We start from the raw sequence: 20,292 nt of genomic DNA on the forward strand, positions 1-20,292 counted from the left end.
ATTACAAGCATACGCCACCACACCTGGCTAATTTTTGTATCTTTAGTAGAGGCAGGATTTTGCCATGTTGGCCAGGCTGGTCTTGAACTCCTGACCTCAAGTGATCTGCCCGCCTCAGCCTCCCAAAGTGCTGAGATTACAGGCATGAACCACCCCGTCTGGCCCCATTTTTAATTGGGTTATTTTCTTATTGTTTAGTTTTAAGTGTTTGTATTAGTCCATTCTCATGCTGTGAACGAAGACATACCTGAGACTGCGTAATTTATAAAGGAAAGAGCTTTAATTGACTCACAGTTCAGCATGGCTGGGGAGGCCTCAGGAAACTTACAATTACGGCAGAAGGGGAAGCAAACACGTCCTTCATATGGCGGCGGCGAGGAGAAGTGCAGAGTGAAGCAGGGAAAAGCCCCTCATAAAACTGTCAGATCTCGTGAGAACTCACCCACTGTCACAAGAACAGCATGAGGGTAACTGTCCCCATGATTAAATTACCTCCCCCTAGGTCCCTCCCATGACACGTGGGGATTATGAGAACTACGATTCAAGATGAGATTTGGGTAGGGACACAGCCAAACCATGTCAGTGTTCCTTATATTTTGAAGATTATGTATATATATAAAATCTTCATATATGTATATATATATATATATACACACACACACACATATATTCTTTATTAGCTATGTCTTCTACAAATACTTTCTCCTAGTCTATGACTTTTCATTCTTTTGACGGCGCCTTTTGAAGAGCAGGATTTTTTTTTTTTTTTGAGCTGGAGTCTCGCTCTGTTGCTGAGGCTGTAGTGCAATGGCACAATCTCAGCTCACTGCAGCCTCCGGGTTCAAGTGATTCTCCTGCCTCAGCCTCCCAAGTAGCTGGGACTACAGGCACCCGCCACCATGCCCAGCTAGTTTTTGTATTTTTAGTAGAGATGGGGTTTCACCATGTTGGCCAGGCTGGTCTCGAACTCCTGACCTCGAGTGATCCACCTACATCAGCCTCCCAAAGTGCCAGGATTACAGGCTTGAGCCACCGTGCCCAGCCAAAGAGCAGGAATTTTTAATCTTCATGAATTCCATTTTATCAGTTCTTTCTGTCGTGGATTGTGCCCTTGGTTTTTTATCTAAGAAGTCATCGCCAAAAGCGAAGGTCATCTAGGCTTTTTCCTATGTTATCTTCAAGAAGTTTTATAGCTTTGAGTTTGACATTCAGGTGAATGATTTATTTTGAGTAAGCTTCTGTCCAGGGTGTAAGGGCTGTGTATATGTTCATTTTTTTTTGCATGTGGATGTCCAGCTGATCCACCTGTCAGTTCTTTCACTAGAAGTGCACTGCCTTGATTGCTGAAGCTTCCTCGTGCACTCGTCAGTCCCTTAAGCTTCACCTCCTCTTCCCCTACCGCATGGCAGCCACTCCACTAGTGGCCTTCCAATGGCAAGTCCCATGGATTCTCTCCAGCGTGCCTCTTGTTTGTAGCTCCATTCTGTTGTGTGAGCTCATGTTGTGTCACCTTTGCACTGGGGTTTGTAGAGTTGGTGCTGAGGTTCTGGCTTTGGGAAGGTGGCCAGACAGGAATGCAGGTTGAGGTCAAGGTATTGTTACTTGCAAGTGTACAGAGCTGCCTTGGGGAAGTGGCACGTGTTTCAGACCCACGTGGGAAATCGGATGGAGTCTGTGTTCTGTGATTCTCAACTCTTAGGCCTTTGGATGTCTAAGGGCCTTGGTCGCTGTGGCCAAGCAAGTGGTCAGTGGGATAGCCCTGCTAAGATGTACCAAGCCAGCATTGACCAGCTGGCATGGATGGAAGGGCTCAATGGCACTGGGCCTGGGGGAAAGCAGAAAGGGGCGGGCAGCTTCCAGAACCTTCCTGGGGCCTGACAGTCCTGGCCCTGCTATAAGTGCTTTATAGCCCTGGACTGGCTCTGGTCTTCTACCAGCCATGTGGGATAGCCCTAGCCCTGTTATAGAGATAGGACACCCATGCATAGAGAATGTTGTTACTTGTTCCAAGTCACAGTTTAGGAAGTGGCAGTGCCAGGATTTGACCTGAGAGCCCATGCTGTTGGCCACGCTGCCTCCCTAGCCCCTGCCCTCAGAGGGCTGAAGAGGTTAGGAAGAAAGGAAAGACAAGAAAGAAGTGTTGGGGAGTAAGTCGGGAAGCCCTCACCTTCCCCTGTTATTCTTTAGGCCTTCTTACCTCCTTTCTACTGGTGCAGAAAGGCCCTGGGGCCCTGCCTGGGACTGGTTCCCGCCCACCATGGGCCCTGTGTGGTGGCGGCTCCTGGAGGCCTCTGTGCTGGGGAAGGTGCCTTCCCTGGAGGGCCTGTGGACCAGAGAGGGAAGGATATAGCAAGGGGTGGCCTGAGGAGCTCCCCTTCTGGAATACAAGAGAGCAGGAGGCAGCAGCCTGTCTGGTTTTCATTTGAGAAGAACTGAGTTGGTGTCCCCAGACCAGGACTGTCCCGGCCTGATGTCTCAGGGAACCCTCTCCAGCCAGAGTAGCTGCACTGACAACCCCACAGCCCCCTTGGGGCACTGTGTGGAAGTTTCTACCGTGAGTACCCAGGATGGTATTGAGCTCTCTCCTTGACAAGCCTGGGTTCTAGCAGCTGTGAGCTTGGCCTTTGTCCAGCGCAGGCCTCAGCTCACAGGCCCTTCAGAAAGTTTCAAGGCAGGAACTGACACTACAATTTTTTTAGTCCTAACTTCCCCATGTTTCTATTTCCTCACTCCCTTAAAATGCAAAAGGGCCAATGTTCCTGGTTTAGGGACTATGACTAGGGAGGCTGCTGGGAGAGCGTGGAGCGTGTGCTACCTGGGCACCTTGGAAAGACACATCCTGGCAGCTGCGCCAGGCAGAAGACTGGGCAGCTGCAGGTTTAAACCCTGGGCTTCCAGGCCCAAGAAGGGGGACTGGGCCCCTGGGAGCTGTCCCATCACAAGAAATAACCCTGGATGCCAACCAGAACCCCAACACCTTTTCTCAGGCAGGGGCAGGGAGAGGGTGAGGAGATGCCAGGAACGAGGTCGAGCAAGGAGGCTGAACCTGGAGAGCCTGGGCATGCAGCCCGCCCACTGGTCTGCCTGGTCCCTTCTGTGCTGGGGCGGGTGGAAGCTGAGGGTGGTGGAGGGGATCACAAATAAGTTATCTGCCCCTGGGTGCCCGCCATCCTCTTGGTGCCCCATGGCTACTCCAAGGACATGCCCATCCCCAAACCCAAATCACCCCAGAGCCAAAACTACTGCTCTTTCCTCCTCCAGTGGCACCCACCCCATCCCCCTCCCAATCAAAACTCCCAAAGAACTCTTTTCTCCGCCCTATGTAAACCTCTTTTGTGATTAAAGTAATTCCCAATGAAGGAACTCATTCTTTTCTGAATGACCTGTAGGCTTAATCTTCCCACGGCACATTTGCATTTCAAGTGGTGTGCTTGTACAGATAGAATTCATCTTTAATTGGCAGAATGAAGGGGTGCTTACTGGGCGGGAGGGAGGAGGTGGACTTTCCCAGGCCCCCCGGGCCCCTCCCTGAAGTCCTCCTCTCTCCTCCTCCATGCCCGCCCGCCCCCTCAGTGAGGGGTGAAGCTGGGTGGATTTGGAAGTTGACTGAAGAAGTGCAATGGCTATTATTCCTTTACTAATTAAAACTTTTTATGGTGAGACCTAGAGTTGCCAACTTCTAATTTTGCCAGTTTGTTTTATCAGTGGTTTCCTAACACCATCACTTCACAGAACCAAAACATGAAGGAGGAGGTCACTTCAGTCTTCTCAATGGAGTAAATTTAGCTTTACACAAACATACCACAGGGTTGTTAGATTTTTCATTTTGCTACAGATTGGTGCAAACCTCACTGGGGGCCAGCATTTGAGAACCACAAACCGGATGCCCCTCAAGGCCCTGCCCAACTCTAAAAGGCCGCAGTTTTCAAATTCCACTGTCACACTGCGTTAAAGATGCATCGTCAAATGTGAATCGTTGATGATGATGTTAATTTTATCATAGTTGCACATAACTTTCTATAATGGAAATGGCTCCAGGAGATAGGACGATAGAGGGAGACTGAAGAGCAGGGAATAAAGAAAGTTAGGGGCAAACGAGGTGGCAGATAGGGAATAACACCTGCCCCCGAAACCTGTATCCATCTTCCCAGGATGCTTGGTTAGATTCTTGGGCTGCAGGAGGCAGTTTCATATTCCTGTCCCGGAAACGTGAGTGTGTGTCTGTGTGTGAGTGTGTGTAATAGCACAGTAGGCGGGCGCAGCACCTGACCTTTATGTAAGCTCCCACCCACGAAGCCTCACCCCTCAAAATGCTCCCTGTGGCCTGGCCTTGCATATGGCACTGTGCCCAACCCCCAAGCAAAAGACATGAAGGTGCCAGAATGGCACATGGCAGATGTCTTAGAGTGTGGGGGTAGGGGACAATGAGAGATGCCAGCTCTGGGAGGACAAGGCCCCGAGCCCTCCAAGGGAGGGGTCTGTCTGATTCCAGCCTGTCTGTTTCCTGCCACTCACAGGCTGCCCTGGCCCTGGCTCCAACCTTTCCTGGGCCCGACCAGGAGGCTTTGCTCACAGTTTTTCCCATTCTTATTCCAGGTGTGTGTGGCTGCTGTGGTGCCCTACGCCCCAGGTACAAAAGGCTGGTTGACAACATCTTCCCTGAGGATCCCGAGGTGGGTCATGTCTCTGGCAGGCATCGTGGCTCTCATGGTCCAGGCAGGGCCTCTGACGGGGGCAGCTTGGAAGCCAGGCCTCCTGCCGGGTGGGGAAGGCAGGGCCTCTCAGGGTCCCTGGGCACTGAGCCTTCCCAGAGAAACTGGAACCTGGGCTACAGCCATGGGCAGTGGTGAGAGGCCGCTAGGGACATGAAGGATGAGGGCATTTGGATCTGCAGAAGGCAGCTGGAAGTGCGTCTTGGCATGCTTGTGGCCATCACTGTCCAACCGAGACATCTTTCTCCTGCATGTCTCTCTGTGTGATTGCCTCTGGAGCTGCTAACTCTTTGAGTGATCGTAGCTCCCTGCCGGTCAGTGTGAGGACTCCCCTGTCTTGGGTTGGGCTCAGGAGCCCAGGTCTTTCCCCCTGGCTGCCACTCTCTGGTGTCTGCCAGGTGTCTAGGGGCACACACACAGGGCCTGGCCTCCAAGCCGCCTCTCCACCTGTCAGGCTGCTTTGTGGGTCGTGGGCTGGGAAACATTGGGATCTGATGTACTTGACTTGCTCTCTGGGAACCAATGGCCTGTCTTGATGGGAGCATCCTTTGTAGAGTTCCCTAAGAGCTGCAGAGCTGCCTTCGTCCTGTGTGTGTCTTGGTGCCGGCTATCCAACATGCTTTAATTTGGGGTGGCTTTTTTTTTTTGAGACGGAGTTTCGCTCTGTTGCCAGGCTGGGGTGCAGTGGCGCGATCTCGGCTCACTGCAACCTCTGACTCCCTGGTTTAAGCAATTCTTCTGCCTCAGCCTCCTGAGTAGCTGGGATTACAGGCACGTGCCACCATGCCCAGCTAATTTTTTGTACTTTTAGCAGAGACGGGATTTCACCATGTTGGCCAGGATGGTCTCGATATCCTGACCTTGTGATCCGCCCACCTCAGGCTCCCAAAGTGCTGGGATTACAGGCGTGAGCCACCACACCCGGCCTGGGTGGCTTTTAATGATGCTGTATCATCCATTCCTACACACACACACACACACACTTACACACACACACACACACGGTATATATATACACACCCATACACACATACATGTATACATTCATGTATATATATCCATACACATGCACACACATATATACATTTTATACGTTTGTATCACTTACAATTCTTTTTCTCCCCCCGAGACGGAGTCTCACTCTGTCGCCCAGGCTAGAGTGCAATGGTGCAATCTTGGCTCACTGCAACCTCCGCTCCCCGGGTTCAAGCAATTCTCCTGCCTCAGCCTCCTGAGTAGCTGGGATTACAGGCACTCGCCACCATGCCTGGCTAATTTTTGTATTTTTAGTAAAGACAGGTGTTTCACCATGTTGGCCAGGCCGGTCTCAAACTCGTGATCTGCCCACCTCAGCCTCCCAAAGTGCTGGGATTATAGGCGTGAGCCTATAACTAAAACTATGTTTTAATCATCTGCCTGTCTCTGAAACCCACATGTGCTCCGGCACATCCATAAAGGACACTCTGTAAATGTTGATTCCGTCGAATTATTATTTTTCTCTAGACTTGAACTCGTCTAGCCATAGTGTGGCCATAGTGAGCACAAGCTGTTTTCTCCTACAGGATGGTCTGGTGAAGACCAACATGGAGAAGCTGACCTTCTATGCCCTCTCAGCTCCAGAAAAACTTGATCGTATTGGCGCCTACCTCTCTGAGAGGCTCATCCGTGACGTGGGTCGCCATCGATATGGGTAAGTAGTTTGGAAGAGAGGGAGAGAGATTGTCAGGAACTATATTGTTAGGCTAAACATAGGGTCCTTTTAAGAAAATGATGGCCAGGCAGAGTGGCTCACGCCTGTAATCCCAGCGCTTTGGGAGGTCAAGGTGGGAGGATCACTGAGGCCAAAAGTTCAAGACTAACCTGGGCAATGTAGTGAGATTCCATCTCTACAAAAAATTTAAAAATTAGCCAGGTGTGGTGGTGCACACCTGTAGTGCCAGCTACTTGGGAGGCTGAAGCAGAAGGATCACTTGAGCCCAGAAGGTCGAGGCTGCAGGGAACCATGATTGTGCCACTGCATTCCAACATGGGTGACTCTCAGAGTAAGATTTTGTCTCAAAAAAAGAAAAAAAAAAGAAATAGATTATCAAACAGACCAAGAAAACTGGGGACTGGGGCTAAGGAGTATATCCCATGTGATCTTCCAAAGGCAGGGTCTAGTGTGATGCTGCTGCTGAGGTTTGGGAAGAAAAGGGTGTTGGCTTCCTACAAGCACCTCTTCCAGCATCCATTCTCTCTTGCGTTTCCATACAGAAGCCCTCATACAGTCTGGGGCCTTAAAAAAAATTAAGGTTTGATTGCACCACCATCCTCATCCAACCTGTCCTGCCTTATCCCACTTACTGTCTTGAAAACAAAGGAGGAGTCATCTACATTCTAGTAAGAAGACAGAGTTAAGGGCAATTTGTCCATTAAAAATACACTTAGGTGAAATATTTATCAATCTTCTGAAAGAGAAGGGCTTTCTATGTTTAAAGAGAGAAGAAATCTTAAAGCAAGTGACTGATCAATAGACTTAACTGTTGAAAAATTTAAATATTTTGATGTCAATATAGAAACACTGAGACCAGGCACGGTGGCTCATACCTATAATCCCAGCACTTTAGGAGGCTGAGGTGGGAGGATCACTTGAGCCCAGGAGTTCAAAACCAGCCTGGACAACATACTGCCCATCTCTACAAAAAATAAACAAAAATAAGCTGGGCGTGGTGGTATGCACCTGTAGTCCCAGCTACTCAGAAAGCTGAGGTGGGAGGATGGCTTGAGCCCAAGAGGTCAAGGCTGCAGTGAGCTGTGTTTGCACCACTGCACTCTAGCCTGGGAGACAGATTGAGACTGTCTCAAAAAAAAAAAAAAAAAAAGAAAAAAGAAACACTCAAAGTTTAAGAGACGAACAACAAAAAAGTATATTCGAAAATTAAGACAAAGGATTCAAACTTATATATTAGTAGCTCATACCAAATAGTGGGTGGAGTGGAGAAACTGAGACACTAAGAGGTTTGAGGCAAGAGCCACAAACAAGCGACTTACAGGAGAGGAGAGAGAGCTTGCCACACACGTGGGATGACACTCAACAGACTTGTGATCAAAGGTGCATACTGAAATACTAAGATGCTAACTTATTAAATTCATCACAAAGGAAATATAATTTCCAGTATTAACCAATAGATGGCAAAACGGGAAGCATTTTCATTCTTTTCTAGAAAGAGTACAAATTGGTTGAAACTCTCTAGAAAGTAATTTTGAAATAATGTGTCAAGAGCTTTAAAAACACTTATGCCCTTTCACTCAGTAATTCCATTTCTATTTGTTGATCCCAAAGAATCAAATTTTTTATTATTTACTTATTTATTATTATTATTTTTTTAAGACAAGGTCTTGCTGTGTTACCCAGACTGGAGTGCAGTGGCATGATCTTGGCTCACTGCAGCCTCAGCCTCCTGGGCTCAAGACGTCCTCCCACCTCAGCCTCCCATATAACTGGGACTACAGGCAAGTGCTACCATGCCTGGCTTATTTTTTGTATTTTTTGTAGAAATGGAGTTTCACCATGTTGCCCAGCCTGGTCTGGAACTCCCAGGCTCAAGCAATCCTCCCGCCTCAGCCTGCCAAAGTGTTGGGATTACAGGCATGAGCTACTGCGCCAGGCCCCAAGGAATCAATCTTAAATACAGTCTACCTTCACACACAGAGATGTTCGTTATCTTGTTATTTATAATAATGAAAAAGTAGAAGTAAAATGTCCAGTCAGAGGAGAATATTTCAGTGAATTATGGTGTATGTCATTTGATAAAATGTTATCTAGTCAATAAAAATTGTGTTTATAAAGATACTTTCCATGTAATTTGAAAAATGCTTTAAGTAAATGAAAACCAGAATCCATAATTATGTAGACAGTATTTGCAATCAAGTTAAAAAATCAACAACAACAACAAATCTCAATGGCTGGAAAATACAGTAAAACGAACATACTGGCCAGGTGCGGTGGCTCATGCCTGTAATCCCAGCACTTTGGAAGGCTGAGGCGGGTGGATCACTTGAGGTCAGGAATTCAAGACCAGCCTGGTCAACATGGTGAAACCTCATCTCTATCAAAAATACAAAAATTAGCTGGGTGTGGGGGCATGCACCTATAGTCCCAGCTACTCAGGAGGCTAAGATGGGGTAATCGCTTGAACCCAGGAGGCAGAGGTTGCAGTGAGCTGAGATCACGCCACTGCACTCCAGCCTGGGCAACAGAGCGAGACCCTGTCTCAAAAACAACAACAAAAAAGAATGTACCAATATGTTAGGAGTATTCATTTTATGAACAGTGGGGCTGGGGTTTTTTGGTTTTGTTTTGTTTCGTATCTATTTTTTCTACGTTTTTCCTAAATATTTTTTATGTGGATGTGTTACTTCCACAATAAAAAACATGAACTGCAGAGCACGTTGTGTTTGCTCCCCAACCATCATGCTACAATTCAGAGACCAAATGTCAGGAGAACACTCAGATATTCCTGGTGGCGTTGCTCATGGAGCTGAGGGTTGGGTGGATTCAGGCAGAGGTTCTCAGTCCTGTTGGTTCCATTCCCCACTGAGTCTTTTTTTTTTGAGATGGAGTCTCAGTCTGTCGCCCAGGCTGGAGTGCATTGGTGTGATCTTGGCTCACTGCAACCTCTGCCTCCTGGGTTCAAGCGATTCTCCTGCCTCAGCCTCCTGAATAGCTGGGACTACAGGCACGTGCCACCACACCTGGCTAATTTTTGTGTTTTTAATAGAGACGGTGTTTCACCATGTTGGTTAGGCTGGTCTCGAACTTCTGACCTCGTGATCCACCTGCCTCAGCCTCCCAAAATGCTGGGATTACAGGCGGGAGCCACCGCGCCTGGCCTCCATGGAATCTTTCATAGCCATCCTCTACTTTCATCTCCTCTAGCCTTTCTCCTGGTCCAGGGTCTTCTCTTTTCGTTCAGATGATGGCAGTAGCCTTGGACATAGTCTCCCTGCTCCCTGTCTTTCCTGCTTTGGTCCTTCTGGGTTAATACTGCTATGTATGATCTTTAACACACAGAACCCAAGCTGCGCTTTCCTAGCTCTTTGAGAAAAAATCCAGCATCCTCAGCTTGACTTCTGGGGTCTTCCACAACCTGCCTGTAACCCAGCCAAGCCCACCACCCCCGCCACACCTGCCGTAGACCCACTCCACATGAACTGCTGACCACCTGGCTGGCTCTGTGGGTCTTTCTGGTGTTCTCTCTCACTTTGACCTCTTTGATAGGCCTCCCCCTGCAGCTGCCCATCAGCCCCACTGCCGTCCAAGGCCCCTTCCTCCTGGCAGGAGAAGACGGAGCTGGTCTTGAACTACAGTGAAATGTGCATGGTGCTGATGGGGTGGAGAGGTCTAGAAAGCACAGGCCTCACCAGCAAATCTTAAATCAACCCACCCCTGGTGTAAAAAGCAGGATCCAAACCAATATGTTTCTGTGATCATTTTATATAATAAAATGAGGTTACATCCTGAATAAGAGCAAATCTACTGTGCATGCTGATTATATTAAGGGCCTTGACATATTGTAAATTATACTCAAGCAAGTAAAAATGACTTGATCCTAGGTTGAACCTAAAACTAATATGCTAGCTCCAACATTAAACATTTAATACTAATTTCACTGGCTGTCTCTGCAGTGATGGTTCTCTCAGTAAAAAAATGTCCTAGAGTCAGAAGAGCCACTTAGAATCATTCTGCTGCCCTTACAACTGCAATTAAAATTTAGTACCATTCTGTTAAAAATAGCCATTGTAGCCTCTAAGTATTTAAAACCTGAAGGCCTCACTGAGGGCTTTGTTCCTAAACATTTGGAGAAGAAAAATCTGTTAGATTTGATCTCTTATTCTCTCTTTGCCCTCCCTGTCTTTCCGTACCCAACGCCACATACATCATCATTATCTTCCTCATCACTGATGGCAGCTTTGGAAGAGTAAAATATTCTCATGCAGACAGGGTGAGAGGCTGTGTCTCCCTGCCGTGATGCAGGTGTCTGTATTTGGGGTTTGACCATATGGACATGAACCTTGGATGCTGGACCCAGGGGCAGAACCACCCTCATCTGCCCCACTGCCTCCCCACATTGTCACCCCATTTCAGTTGTGTGTGGACTCTGGCTCATAGGTGTTTAGCATGGGGACGGCGGTGGGCAGCCCAATGTGGGCAGAGAGAGGATGAGATGTGAATTTCAAGGCATCGTTCATGGGCATGCAATATGATGGGCAGTGATGTGCAGAGCAGCAAAAACCGAGCAGTCCTTCTATTTTCCCTTCTCTTTACATTTCCCTTCCAGTTCAACTCCAATGCGAGTAAATCCCCTAGAAACGAAGGGAGAGCAGGGGAGGGAACAGCAGTGCTGGGTAAGACTCGCTCAGTCGACAGTGACCCCTGAGCATTGATGGGTGCAGAATGCCATATAAGACGCCGTCAGGATCCCCAGTACCTGGAGCTCTCACCCAGCCAGGACCAAGCCCTGGCGGATGGAGATGGCCATGCCAGAGGGTTGAGCTTCTCTAATCTGAGGACCCTGGCCCTGGAGCTGACCCAGTGGCCCTCCTAAGAGATACACATTCACCAGAAGGACCCTGAACCTGACTGGAGGATGGCTGACCTTGAGATAGGGATACCGCAGACCCCTACTAGATGAGGAGGGTCATCCCTCCCTTCCTGAGCTGAGGTCAGCCCTCTCTCCCTACTTCTGGACTCCTAAAACCCAGAAGATTCTGTCTAGGAGTGGGCTGACCAAATGCACTCAAACTGCCTGGAACAAGAGGTTCTTTGTCCAGGCCACTGCTCTTGAGCGATTCTTGTGCAAATGACTGGCCCTACTAAAGCTGCCTCCCTCATCCTGCCTGCTGACCCTAATCCCTGACCCTGTATCTGCCTTTCCTCTCCAACTAAGCCTGGTTCCCAGACTTTACTCCCCACTCCTCCTTTCTTAGGCCAGTTCAGATTCTCAGACCTGTTATGACTTTGTACCTCTTCCAGGACACCCGCCCCAGATCAGATCTCTGCTGGTAGTAATCTTCTAACTCGGGGATCCCAGGCTCTATTCCTTTTGAGTGTGTAACAGATTAGACACACTCGAGAAGATTACAATAAAATAGCACAAACATGGAGAGCATTAGACTCGGGGCTTCCAAGGTCCCATTGACTTCGAATTATGTAAGATGCTTTGAAAAGCTCAAGTTCATAATTATAAACATTCCATCCTTACTATTGGGATCAGAGATGAGGAACAAAGGATCATGTGTTCAAAGAACTGGGCCTTATACTTCTTTACTTTTCAGTTTCACTTCTACCATAATTTTCACCTTCTACCAAAATGGAAATTTTCCACTTTCCACTCCTGGTAAGTAGCCAATTTTTTTTTTTTTTTTTTTTTTTTTTCTGTTGCAAAGGATGGTTTTTCCATATCAGGAATTTCTGGCATTTTTTCAGGAAGAGGAAAAGCAGTAATCTAAGCCCTGGGGCTCACGAGGCCTTGAGTTTCTTCTCTTGCCCAACCCCACCCCTTCCTTTACGTCATGTAAACACTGTAATAATGGTGAAATGCTGCAGATCCCTTCATACAGAAGGACGCTGGGATGATTCGTAAGGGAAGAGAATCCCATGCTGCCTGCCCTCATTTCCTACCCGCCATGCTTGGCTGCCTGAAGGTGTCCAGGTCTCTCTGCAGCCAAAGCCTGTCCCCTTTGGAAGGGCTCCAGCCCAGTCTGCTTCCCAAACCCTGCAGAATTCAGTCTCTACACAGTGGACCTGAAACATGCTGGGACTGGGTCTGCAAGGCACAGCAGGTTTCCTGGATGGTGATTGTGATGGTCTCTGAAGGGCGAGGCTGCAGAGCCAGGAATGGCTGTCCTGGGAGCAAGGAGGAATGGTAGGCATGGCTCCCATTCACCAGAGGAGCTCAAAGAGCCAAGGCTGCCTTTGTATTTGAAAGACATTCTGTGGATAGAGCACACCTTGATCCATATGTGGGTGGGCCCAGAGACAACTATTTGATAATACTTTTATTTAATATCATTAAAGAATCATTTAATAAAAGTTGACGCGGCTATTCTAGATAAAAGAAATAAACATTTTATAAAAGTGGAAAAGAAAATTTCAGCATTTAAAGGCTGTTTAATTTTCTGGTTGCTTGGTATAGAAGTTAGCTCAAAGGTAAGTAAGAAATAGCTGATGTCTTAAAAAAAATTTAGAAGTCATGACTGCTGTTAATTTTTTTTATGTTTGGATTTGCAAAGCTAGCTCATGTCTGAGGCAGTCTGACTGTGCAATATCTGAAACTGGGTAGCTGTCCCAGGAGGTATCATGGAGCCTTGAGTTGTAGCCTTGAAAGAGCTCCTGAAATTGTCCTATAGTCATCCTCCCTGTGCTTTCTGTTCACCCAAACTTTGTTTAAAAAAAAAAAAAAAAAGATGAAGACTAGCTAATAAAGAATTTTTAAATAGGCTGGGTGCAGTGGCTCACACCTGTAACCCGAGCAATTTGGGAGGCCGAGGTGGGTGGGTCACCTGAGGTCAGGAGTTCAAGACCAACCTGGTCAACATGGTGAAACCCCATCTCTACAAAAAATACAAAAAATTAGCCAGGCATGGTGGTGGGCGCCTGTAATCCCAGCTACCTAGGAGGCTAAGGCAGGAGAATCGCTTGAACCTGGGAGGCAGAGGTTGTAGTGAGCCGAGATTGCGCCATTGCACTCCAGCCTAAGCAACAAGAGCAAAACTCCGTCTCAAAAAAAAAATTTTTTTTTAAATATCTGCCTAACATTCAATGATGGATATGATTTAGGTCAAGACATAAAGAAGAACGAATCTTTTAATTCATCCTTTATTACATTTACGGCATGTGAACCTGACTTTAGAGTTTTAGGCACCTTTAACATTTTAAAATCCCGTGGTGGCAGCTTTGCTGCGATCTTGTAAGAGAGGCCTTTTGCTACTTTATTTTGACTTAGGGAACATTGACCTGATTCCTGGGCACCCCATTAGGCTTTACAGTTTTCTGCTTACTTTACCTCCCCTGTATTTTCTTTTTTTTGAGACGGAGTCTCACTCTTTTGCCCAGGCCGGAGTGCAGTGGCGCTATCTCGGCTCACTGCAAGCTCTGCCTCCTGAGTTCACACCATTCTCCTGCCTCAGCCTCCTGAGTAGCTGGAACTACAGGCACCTGCCACCGCGCCTGGCTAATTTTTGGTATTTTTAGTAGAGACGGTGTTTCACTGTGTTAGCCATGATGGTCTCAATCTCCTGACCTCGTGATCTGCCCGCCTCGGCCTCCCAAAGTGCTGGGATTACAGGCGTGAGCCACAGCGCCCGGCCTCCCCTGTATTTTCTTTGTGTCAGGAGGTACTTTTCTATTCCACATGATTTGACATTACAAGTAGAAGGATCACCATCCTGCAATGGGCACATGAGTCCAAACTCTGAGTCCATGAAGCCTTGCAATGGTCTCCCATCTAGCAGGATAGGAAACATTTCTAGCTCTAACTTCCCTTTCCAATGAGGTCAGTCACTTGGTTTGCTTTGGATTGCTCAGAATTCACCTTTATTTGTGCCATCAGGTTTCTAAAGCACTCCCAAATCTGATTATTAGGTGCTTGTGCTATTTAGAGTATAAAGAAACTCAAAAGACAGTGGCTCCAGCAATATGGAAGTGCTTTTCCTCTCTTTCACATCAGTCTGGAGTGGGCCAGTGGGCTCTGCTCCATGAGGTCATTCAGGGATCTTCAGCACATGGCTTTCCTCTCTGGGTCTCCAGTTGTTTCCACTTCCCAGCTGGTAGGAAGAGGGAAAGAGAAAGGACACAGAGGGCAGTCATGTCTTATAATCAACAGATGCTGATGTTGTTCACATCACTTTCTCTTAATTAATTAATTTATATGTTTGTTTATTTTTGAGACAAGATCTCACCCTGTCCCCCAGGCTGGAGTACAGTGGCTCAATCATGGCTCACTGCAGCCTCGACCTCTCAGGCTCAAGCGATCCTCCCACTTCAGCCTTTGAGTAGCTGGGATTACAGGCATACACCACCATGCCTGGCTAATTTTTGCATTTATCATAAAGAAGGGGTCTCGCCATGTTGCCCAGGCTGTCTTGAACTCCTGGCTCAAGCAATCTGCCCACCTCAGCTTCCCAAACTGTTGGGATTCCAGGTGTGAGCCACCATGCCCTGGCCACTTCCCCTCATTTTAATGGCAATGTTTTAGTCATGTGGTCTCACCTCACAGCAAGAGAGACTGGGAAATGGAGTCCCAAATGAGCAGCCACATGCACAGCTAAAATTCTGAATTTCTAGGGAAAGGCAAAGGGACATATTTTAGGGGAGACATCTAGCATTCTGCCCGGGAAACTTAACTCCGAAACTGTAAAGATTTTAACCAGAATAATTTCTGAAAGGTTTGCAGCAGCTTCCTTGTTAGAAGTTCAAAACAAAACAAAACAAAAACAAAAAACAAAACCTCTCTTTCTTTAGAATGTAAATGCTTTGTAAGTGAAGGATGTATGTTTTATGATGTAGACATTACTAGTTATGTCATACTCTTGGAACAAATTTGGAGTTTGAGCTTAGAGGTGCCTTTCTCCTTCTCATTAGGAATTTGATTCTTGGCATTTTTCTTGGGATTTATGAGAAGCATTGAAGAAGACAACTAAGATAATTGGGTTGTCCTGTAAAGGCTAGTTTGGGAGAGCTTGGGTATATTTAGCACAGAGGAGAGAACAGCAAGAATAACAAATGAGATTGTTATCTTCAGGGGTTGAGGAGCTGGAGGTAGGAGATGGCATGGCCCTCTTTTTTGCTTCTCCTGAGAGTAGAATTGTGAATAGAGGATAGAGGTTATTAGGCTTCAGGTTGACATTTTATTTCATTATATTAGTCCATTCTCATGCTGCTATGAAGAAATACCCAAGACTGGGTAATTTATAAAGAAAAGAGGTTTAATTGACTCACACAGTTCTGCAGGGCTGGGGAGACCTCAGGAAACTTACAATCATAGCGAAAGTCACCTCTTCACATGGCACCAGGGGAGAGAATGAGAGCTGAGCGAAGGGGGAAGCCCCTTATAAAACCATCAGATCTCATGAGAACACACTATCACAAGAACAGTATGGGGAAAACCGCCCCCATGATTCAATTCTCTCCACCTGGTGCCCCCCTTGACACGTGGGGATTATTACAATTCAAGGTGAGATTCGGGTGGGGACGCGGAGCCAAACCATACTAGTTGTCAGTCATCTAGTGAGAGGACTTGGCTCATTGCTATTGGATGTTGTGTATTCCTAGTTTCCGAAGTTGTTCACTCAGGCTTTAGACTTCAGAGGAATTGTTTAAGTAATTTAAAGACTTAGTTAACATAGGGAACATTCCTCATAAGGAGGAAAAAAAAAATTATTCTGTGTCCATCTTGTCTGTCTTATTCCCTAAGTAAGAAGTATCATCCAAACATAGTAATGCTGCCAACCATATTGCTTGCATAGTACTTTATCATGGAACTTCTGAGGCTTTCAAACACAATACCTGCAAATTTTCTATTCCTTAAAGCTGGTCCTCAGGCCTGTCTCAGATTCTTCATAAAGATCTTGACTTCCTCCCCACTCGAGCCATCTCTCTCCATCCTTGGAAACCTCATGGGCCATCATGCATGATTTTCTTGTAGGATTTATTTTCTCTTTAAAGGAATATCTATGTATTTATCTCAGCTCATTAAGTTGAATGACTGCCTTCTTCATCCTTACACCCCCTGCACTGTCTAGGACAGAGCCTTTCCACAGTGGGCACTCGATAAATACTTCTTGACTTGGATTGGATAATTCCCCGACCTCATAGAGTTTAGACTTAGAGTTTGCTATTGTGAGCATCAATCTTGCTCTTTGTGTTGACTCATGAAATGCTCTATCTCATCCGTCGTCCTGTTCTTAATCTGTAAAAGGAGGGGCTGGATGAGTTGGTCTCTAGGCTTCCTTCCAGCCCTAATTCATTCTGACTCAGTTCTGGGCTGGAGCAGACACTTGTTGGAAAGGCTATCCAGACGTTGGCAGCCTGTGGGGGAGCCTCATTACCCGGATGCTGCATTGCCCAGGTCACCACACTGACACCTTGCATGCCCTGGTTGGGCCATGGGGTGGCAGGGGCGCGGCCAGTGACGGCATGTGCTGCCCTCCCCAGGTACGTGTGCATTGCTATGGAGGCTTTGGACCAGCTGCTCATGGCCTGCCACTGCCAGAGCATCAACCTCTTCGTGGAGAGCTTCCTCAAGATGGTGGCCAAGCTGCTGGAGTCAGAGAAACCCAACCTGCAGATCCTCGGCACCAACTCGGTAAGGAGCGGCCCAGGGGGCTCCAGGTCTCCCAGCCGCATCCTGGGGGGTGGCAGGGGAGAGGGAGACCTCGGGGTCGGCACTGTCATGTTCTGTTCCTTCTTGGTTCCCAACCCTAAGTGTGACACACTGCTTGTTTTAGGGTCTCCCTTTGTGTGAACAAAGGGCCCTTTCATTTTTTAATTTAAACAAATATATAATTTATATAGATATATAATAAAATAATTTTTAAAAATAAAATTCACCACTTTCAAGCATCCCATTTTAAACCCCGTGGTGGCCAGGCACAGTGGCTCACACTTGTAATACCAGCACTTTGGGAGACCAAGGCAGGTGGATCACTTGAGGTAAGGAGTTTGAGACCAGCCTGGCCAACATGGCAAAACCCCATCTCTACTAAAAATACAAAAAAAAACAAAAACAAAAATTAGCCGGATGTCATGGCACACACCTGTAATCCGATCCCAGCTACTTGGGAGGCTGAGGCAGGAAAATCACTTGAACCCAGGAAGCAGAGGTTGCGGTGAGTCGAGATCATGCCACTGCACTCCAACCTGGGTGACAGAGACTCCATCTCAAAAAACAAACAAACAACAACAAAAAATGTGGTTTCAGTGTATTCACAAAGTTGTGCAACCATTAACACCATCTAATGTGTTTAGCGTTAGATTGATGATCTCCAAACTGTTTTTACTAATAGAATTTTTCCCCTCAAATAATTTTAAGTGGGGCCCCCAATAGATATAAAAATCGATGGAAACAGAGGCTTTCTTTTGAGGGCAGGAAGAACCCAGGGCTCTCACCACTCAGCACGCTATGGGGGCATATCTTGAAAGCTGTCCAGGTTATGCCCCTTTCAAAGATAGAGTAAAGTGATGTCCCCAGGACAAAGGTACCAGATCAGTGGAAAGACCACGGGGAAGCAGGACACGGGGCTTCTGGCTCAGTTCTGCCCTTCCCTCGCTGTGAAGCGTTGAGCAGGTTACCTTTTATGGGCCTCAGTCTTTTCATCAGTACCATGAGCAGGTTCAGCTTGGTCTCTGTTAGTCCTCCAAGCTAATGCTGGTCTCAGTGCAAATGGCTGCGGTCGTGGGAGAGTATGATTTTGTTAGAGAAGAGCTATCAGATATGTCAGAAACTCCCTGCTTCTTGTGTGCATTTAAACATACTCCCACGCCCTGGTTGTCTTTAATATCTTGCTGTCTCTCCCATTCCTTCCCCTTTTGGACATACTTTAAGCTCCAGGTCTTCATGCAGCTTAGATACAACTATTTTACAGATCTTAAGTGAAGCTTTTATCTATCTGCAGGTATCACAAAAGTTTAAGGTTTGCCCCTTAGCCTTCCAACCTGAATTTTTATTATTTTATTTTATTATTTTTTTTAGACTGAGCCTCGCTCTGTCACCTAGGCTGGAGTGCAGTGGCACAATCTCGGCTCACTGCAACCTCCGCCTCCTGGGTTCAAGTAATTCTCTTGCTTCAGCCTCCCAAGTAGCTGGGATTATAGGCATACACCACCACACCTGGCTAATATTTGTTTTTAGAAGAGACGGGGTTTCACCATGTTGTCCAGGCTGGTCTTAAACTCCTGGGCTCAAGTGATTCACCCGCCTCAGCCTCCCAAAGTGCTGGAATTACAGGCGTGAGCCACCACGCCCAGCCCTCAATCTGAATTTTTATGGCATGGGTCAGAGCTGCTTTCCTGTTCTACATAAGTTGATTTAACCAGAAGAGAGTCTTCCAACTTTCCTTCCAAGGACCAAGAGTAGCAACCTATACAGATTCCCTTCTCTTTCCTCTCCCTGGGAGCCAGCTGCCTTTGACACATTACACATATACTAACTGAGGGGAAAGTCCTTTGTCAAGTTGCTCTGGCAACAGCTTCAGATACTGTTTTAGTTGTCCTGTTTAAGAGAACTACAGCCTAGAAGAGAACATCTGAATGGAAAATGAACCAGCCACCATGCATCCCTGGGGGCCACTGGAAGCAGGTGGCCACCACCTCTAGCTTCCCCCACAGGAAATCCTAGCCCAGGGTAGGTGTTCTGTCAGCTACAGCATGAAAAATTCAGTGTCCTGCAGATTCCCCATCGCAGTGAATCATCGCATCAGCCAGAGAGCAAGCTGACTAATGATTGCTATGCTGCAGACAATGAAGATGATATAAGGACAAGCTATTGTCAGTGAGTTAAGTCAAATATTTGCAGTAGCTCCAGAGTGCAGCTTGGAAGGCAGCCTTTTCTCTTGCTGTCCCTGTCTGATGCTCTTTCCAGCTCTCTGTGCCCAGACCTTCTTGAGCCTTCCTGAGAAGAGTGTCCTTTTGCTCCTCATCGTTTTAGACCTGCTAGCATGCTAGTGCATGACATTATCTTAGAGTCTAGCCCGGGAGTTCCAAACAGGTCTTCACAGGGATTCAGGGCTTTGTGAGGGGAAAGGGGGCCTAGGAGAGGAGGAATAGAAGTCTCTAGGCCCTTTACTGCTACTTCATCCAGTAGCCACCTCTGGAGTTTTTTTTTTTTGAGGCAGAGCCTCGCTGTGTCACCCCGGATGGAGTGCACTGGCATGATCTCGGCTCACTGCAACCTCCGCCTCCGAGGTTCAAGTGATTCTTCTACTTCAGCCTCTCCAGTAGCTAGGATTAGAGGTGTGTGCCACCATGCCCAGCTAATTTTTTTTTTTTTTTTTTTGAGATGGAGTCTCACTCTGTTGCCCAGGCTGGAATGCAGTGGCACAATCTTGGCTCACTGCAACCTCCACCTCCCAGGTTCAAGTGATTCTCCTGCCAAAGCCTCCCGAGTAACTGGGATTATAGGCGCCTGCCACCACACCCAACTAAGGGAGACAGGGTTTCACCATGTTGGTCAGGCTGGTCTCGAACTCCTGATGTCAAGTGATCCGCCTGCCTCGGCCTCCCAAAGTGCTGGGATTACAGGCATGAGCTACAGTGTCTGGCCCTGTTAATTTTTTGTATTTTTGGTAGAGACAGGGTTTCACTGTGTTGGCCAGGCTGGTCTCGAACTCCTGACCTCAAGTGATCCACCTGCCTTGGCCTCCCAAAGTGCTGAGATTACAGGTGTGAGCTACCACGCCCGGTCCTTTCCATTGTTTGTATGGAAGTTTGCAGCATTTTATTTGGATAAAAGGTTTTGCTGCCAGGAAATCAAAAGAAAGGGAAGGAGAAAAAGGAAGAGAAAGCAAAATGAATCAAGCTCATTGTAACCCCTCATTTTGT

The 20,292-nt window shown here is 47.2% G+C and overlaps 1 protein-coding gene across 2 annotated transcripts in view, besides 4 other annotated features; it reads left to right on the forward strand.

Annotated features, from left to right (window-relative positions):
- The window catches only part of EFR3B (EFR3 homolog B), a 117,060-nt gene that overhangs the window by 44,653 nt on the left and 52,115 nt on the right, over positions 1-20,292 (forward strand). For both annotated transcript variants that reach the window (NM_014971.2, NM_001319099.2), the window contains exons 2-4: positions 4,597-4,673; positions 6,275-6,402; positions 16,909-17,059. In NM_014971.2, the coding sequence (NP_055786.1) occupies positions 4,597-4,673; positions 6,275-6,402; positions 16,909-17,059 (356 nt within the window). The remainder of the gene's footprint in view (positions 1-4,596; positions 4,674-6,274; positions 6,403-16,908; positions 17,060-20,292) is intronic.
- Positions 1,676-2,675: an enhancer, noted in NCBI's record as "H3K4me1 hESC enhancer chr2:25311273-25312272 (GRCh37/hg19 assembly coordinates)". NCBI's record gives its function as "activates a minimal SCP1, AML or CMV promoter by ChIP-STARR-seq in naive and primed H9 embryonic stem cells {active_cell/tissue: H9 hESC(naive and primed)}" and the evidence as "EXISTENCE:reporter gene assay evidence [ECO:0000049][PMID:30033119]".
- Positions 2,676-3,674: an enhancer, noted in NCBI's record as "OCT4-NANOG-H3K4me1 hESC enhancer chr2:25312273-25313271 (GRCh37/hg19 assembly coordinates)". NCBI's record gives its function as "activates a minimal SCP1, AML or CMV promoter by ChIP-STARR-seq in naive H9 embryonic stem cells {active_cell/tissue: H9 hESC(naive)}" and the evidence as "EXISTENCE:reporter gene assay evidence [ECO:0000049][PMID:30033119]".
- Positions 10,977-11,154: a silencer, noted in NCBI's record as "fragment chr2:25320574-25320751 (GRCh37/hg19 assembly coordinates)". NCBI's record gives its function as "represses an EF-1alpha promoter that drives an FKBP-Casp9 reporter gene in an ReSE screen in K562 erythroleukemia cells {active_cell/tissue: K562}" and the evidence as "EXISTENCE:reporter gene assay evidence [ECO:0000049][PMID:32094911]".
- Positions 18,992-19,286: a silencer, noted in NCBI's record as "tiled region #3202; K562 Repressive non-DNase unmatched - State 21:Repr, and HepG2 Repressive DNase matched - State 8:EnhW". NCBI's record gives its function as "represses a minimal TATA promoter and a strong SV40 promoter by Sharpr-MPRA in K562 cells, with weak repression in HepG2 cells {active_cell/tissue: HepG2 | K562}" and the evidence as "EXISTENCE:reporter gene assay evidence [ECO:0000049][PMID:27701403]".

This window comes from Homo sapiens, chromosome 2 (genome assembly GCF_000001405.40).
Source record: "Homo sapiens chromosome 2, GRCh38.p14 Primary Assembly".
Classification (NCBI taxonomy): domain Eukaryota; kingdom Metazoa; phylum Chordata; class Mammalia; order Primates; family Hominidae; genus Homo; species Homo sapiens.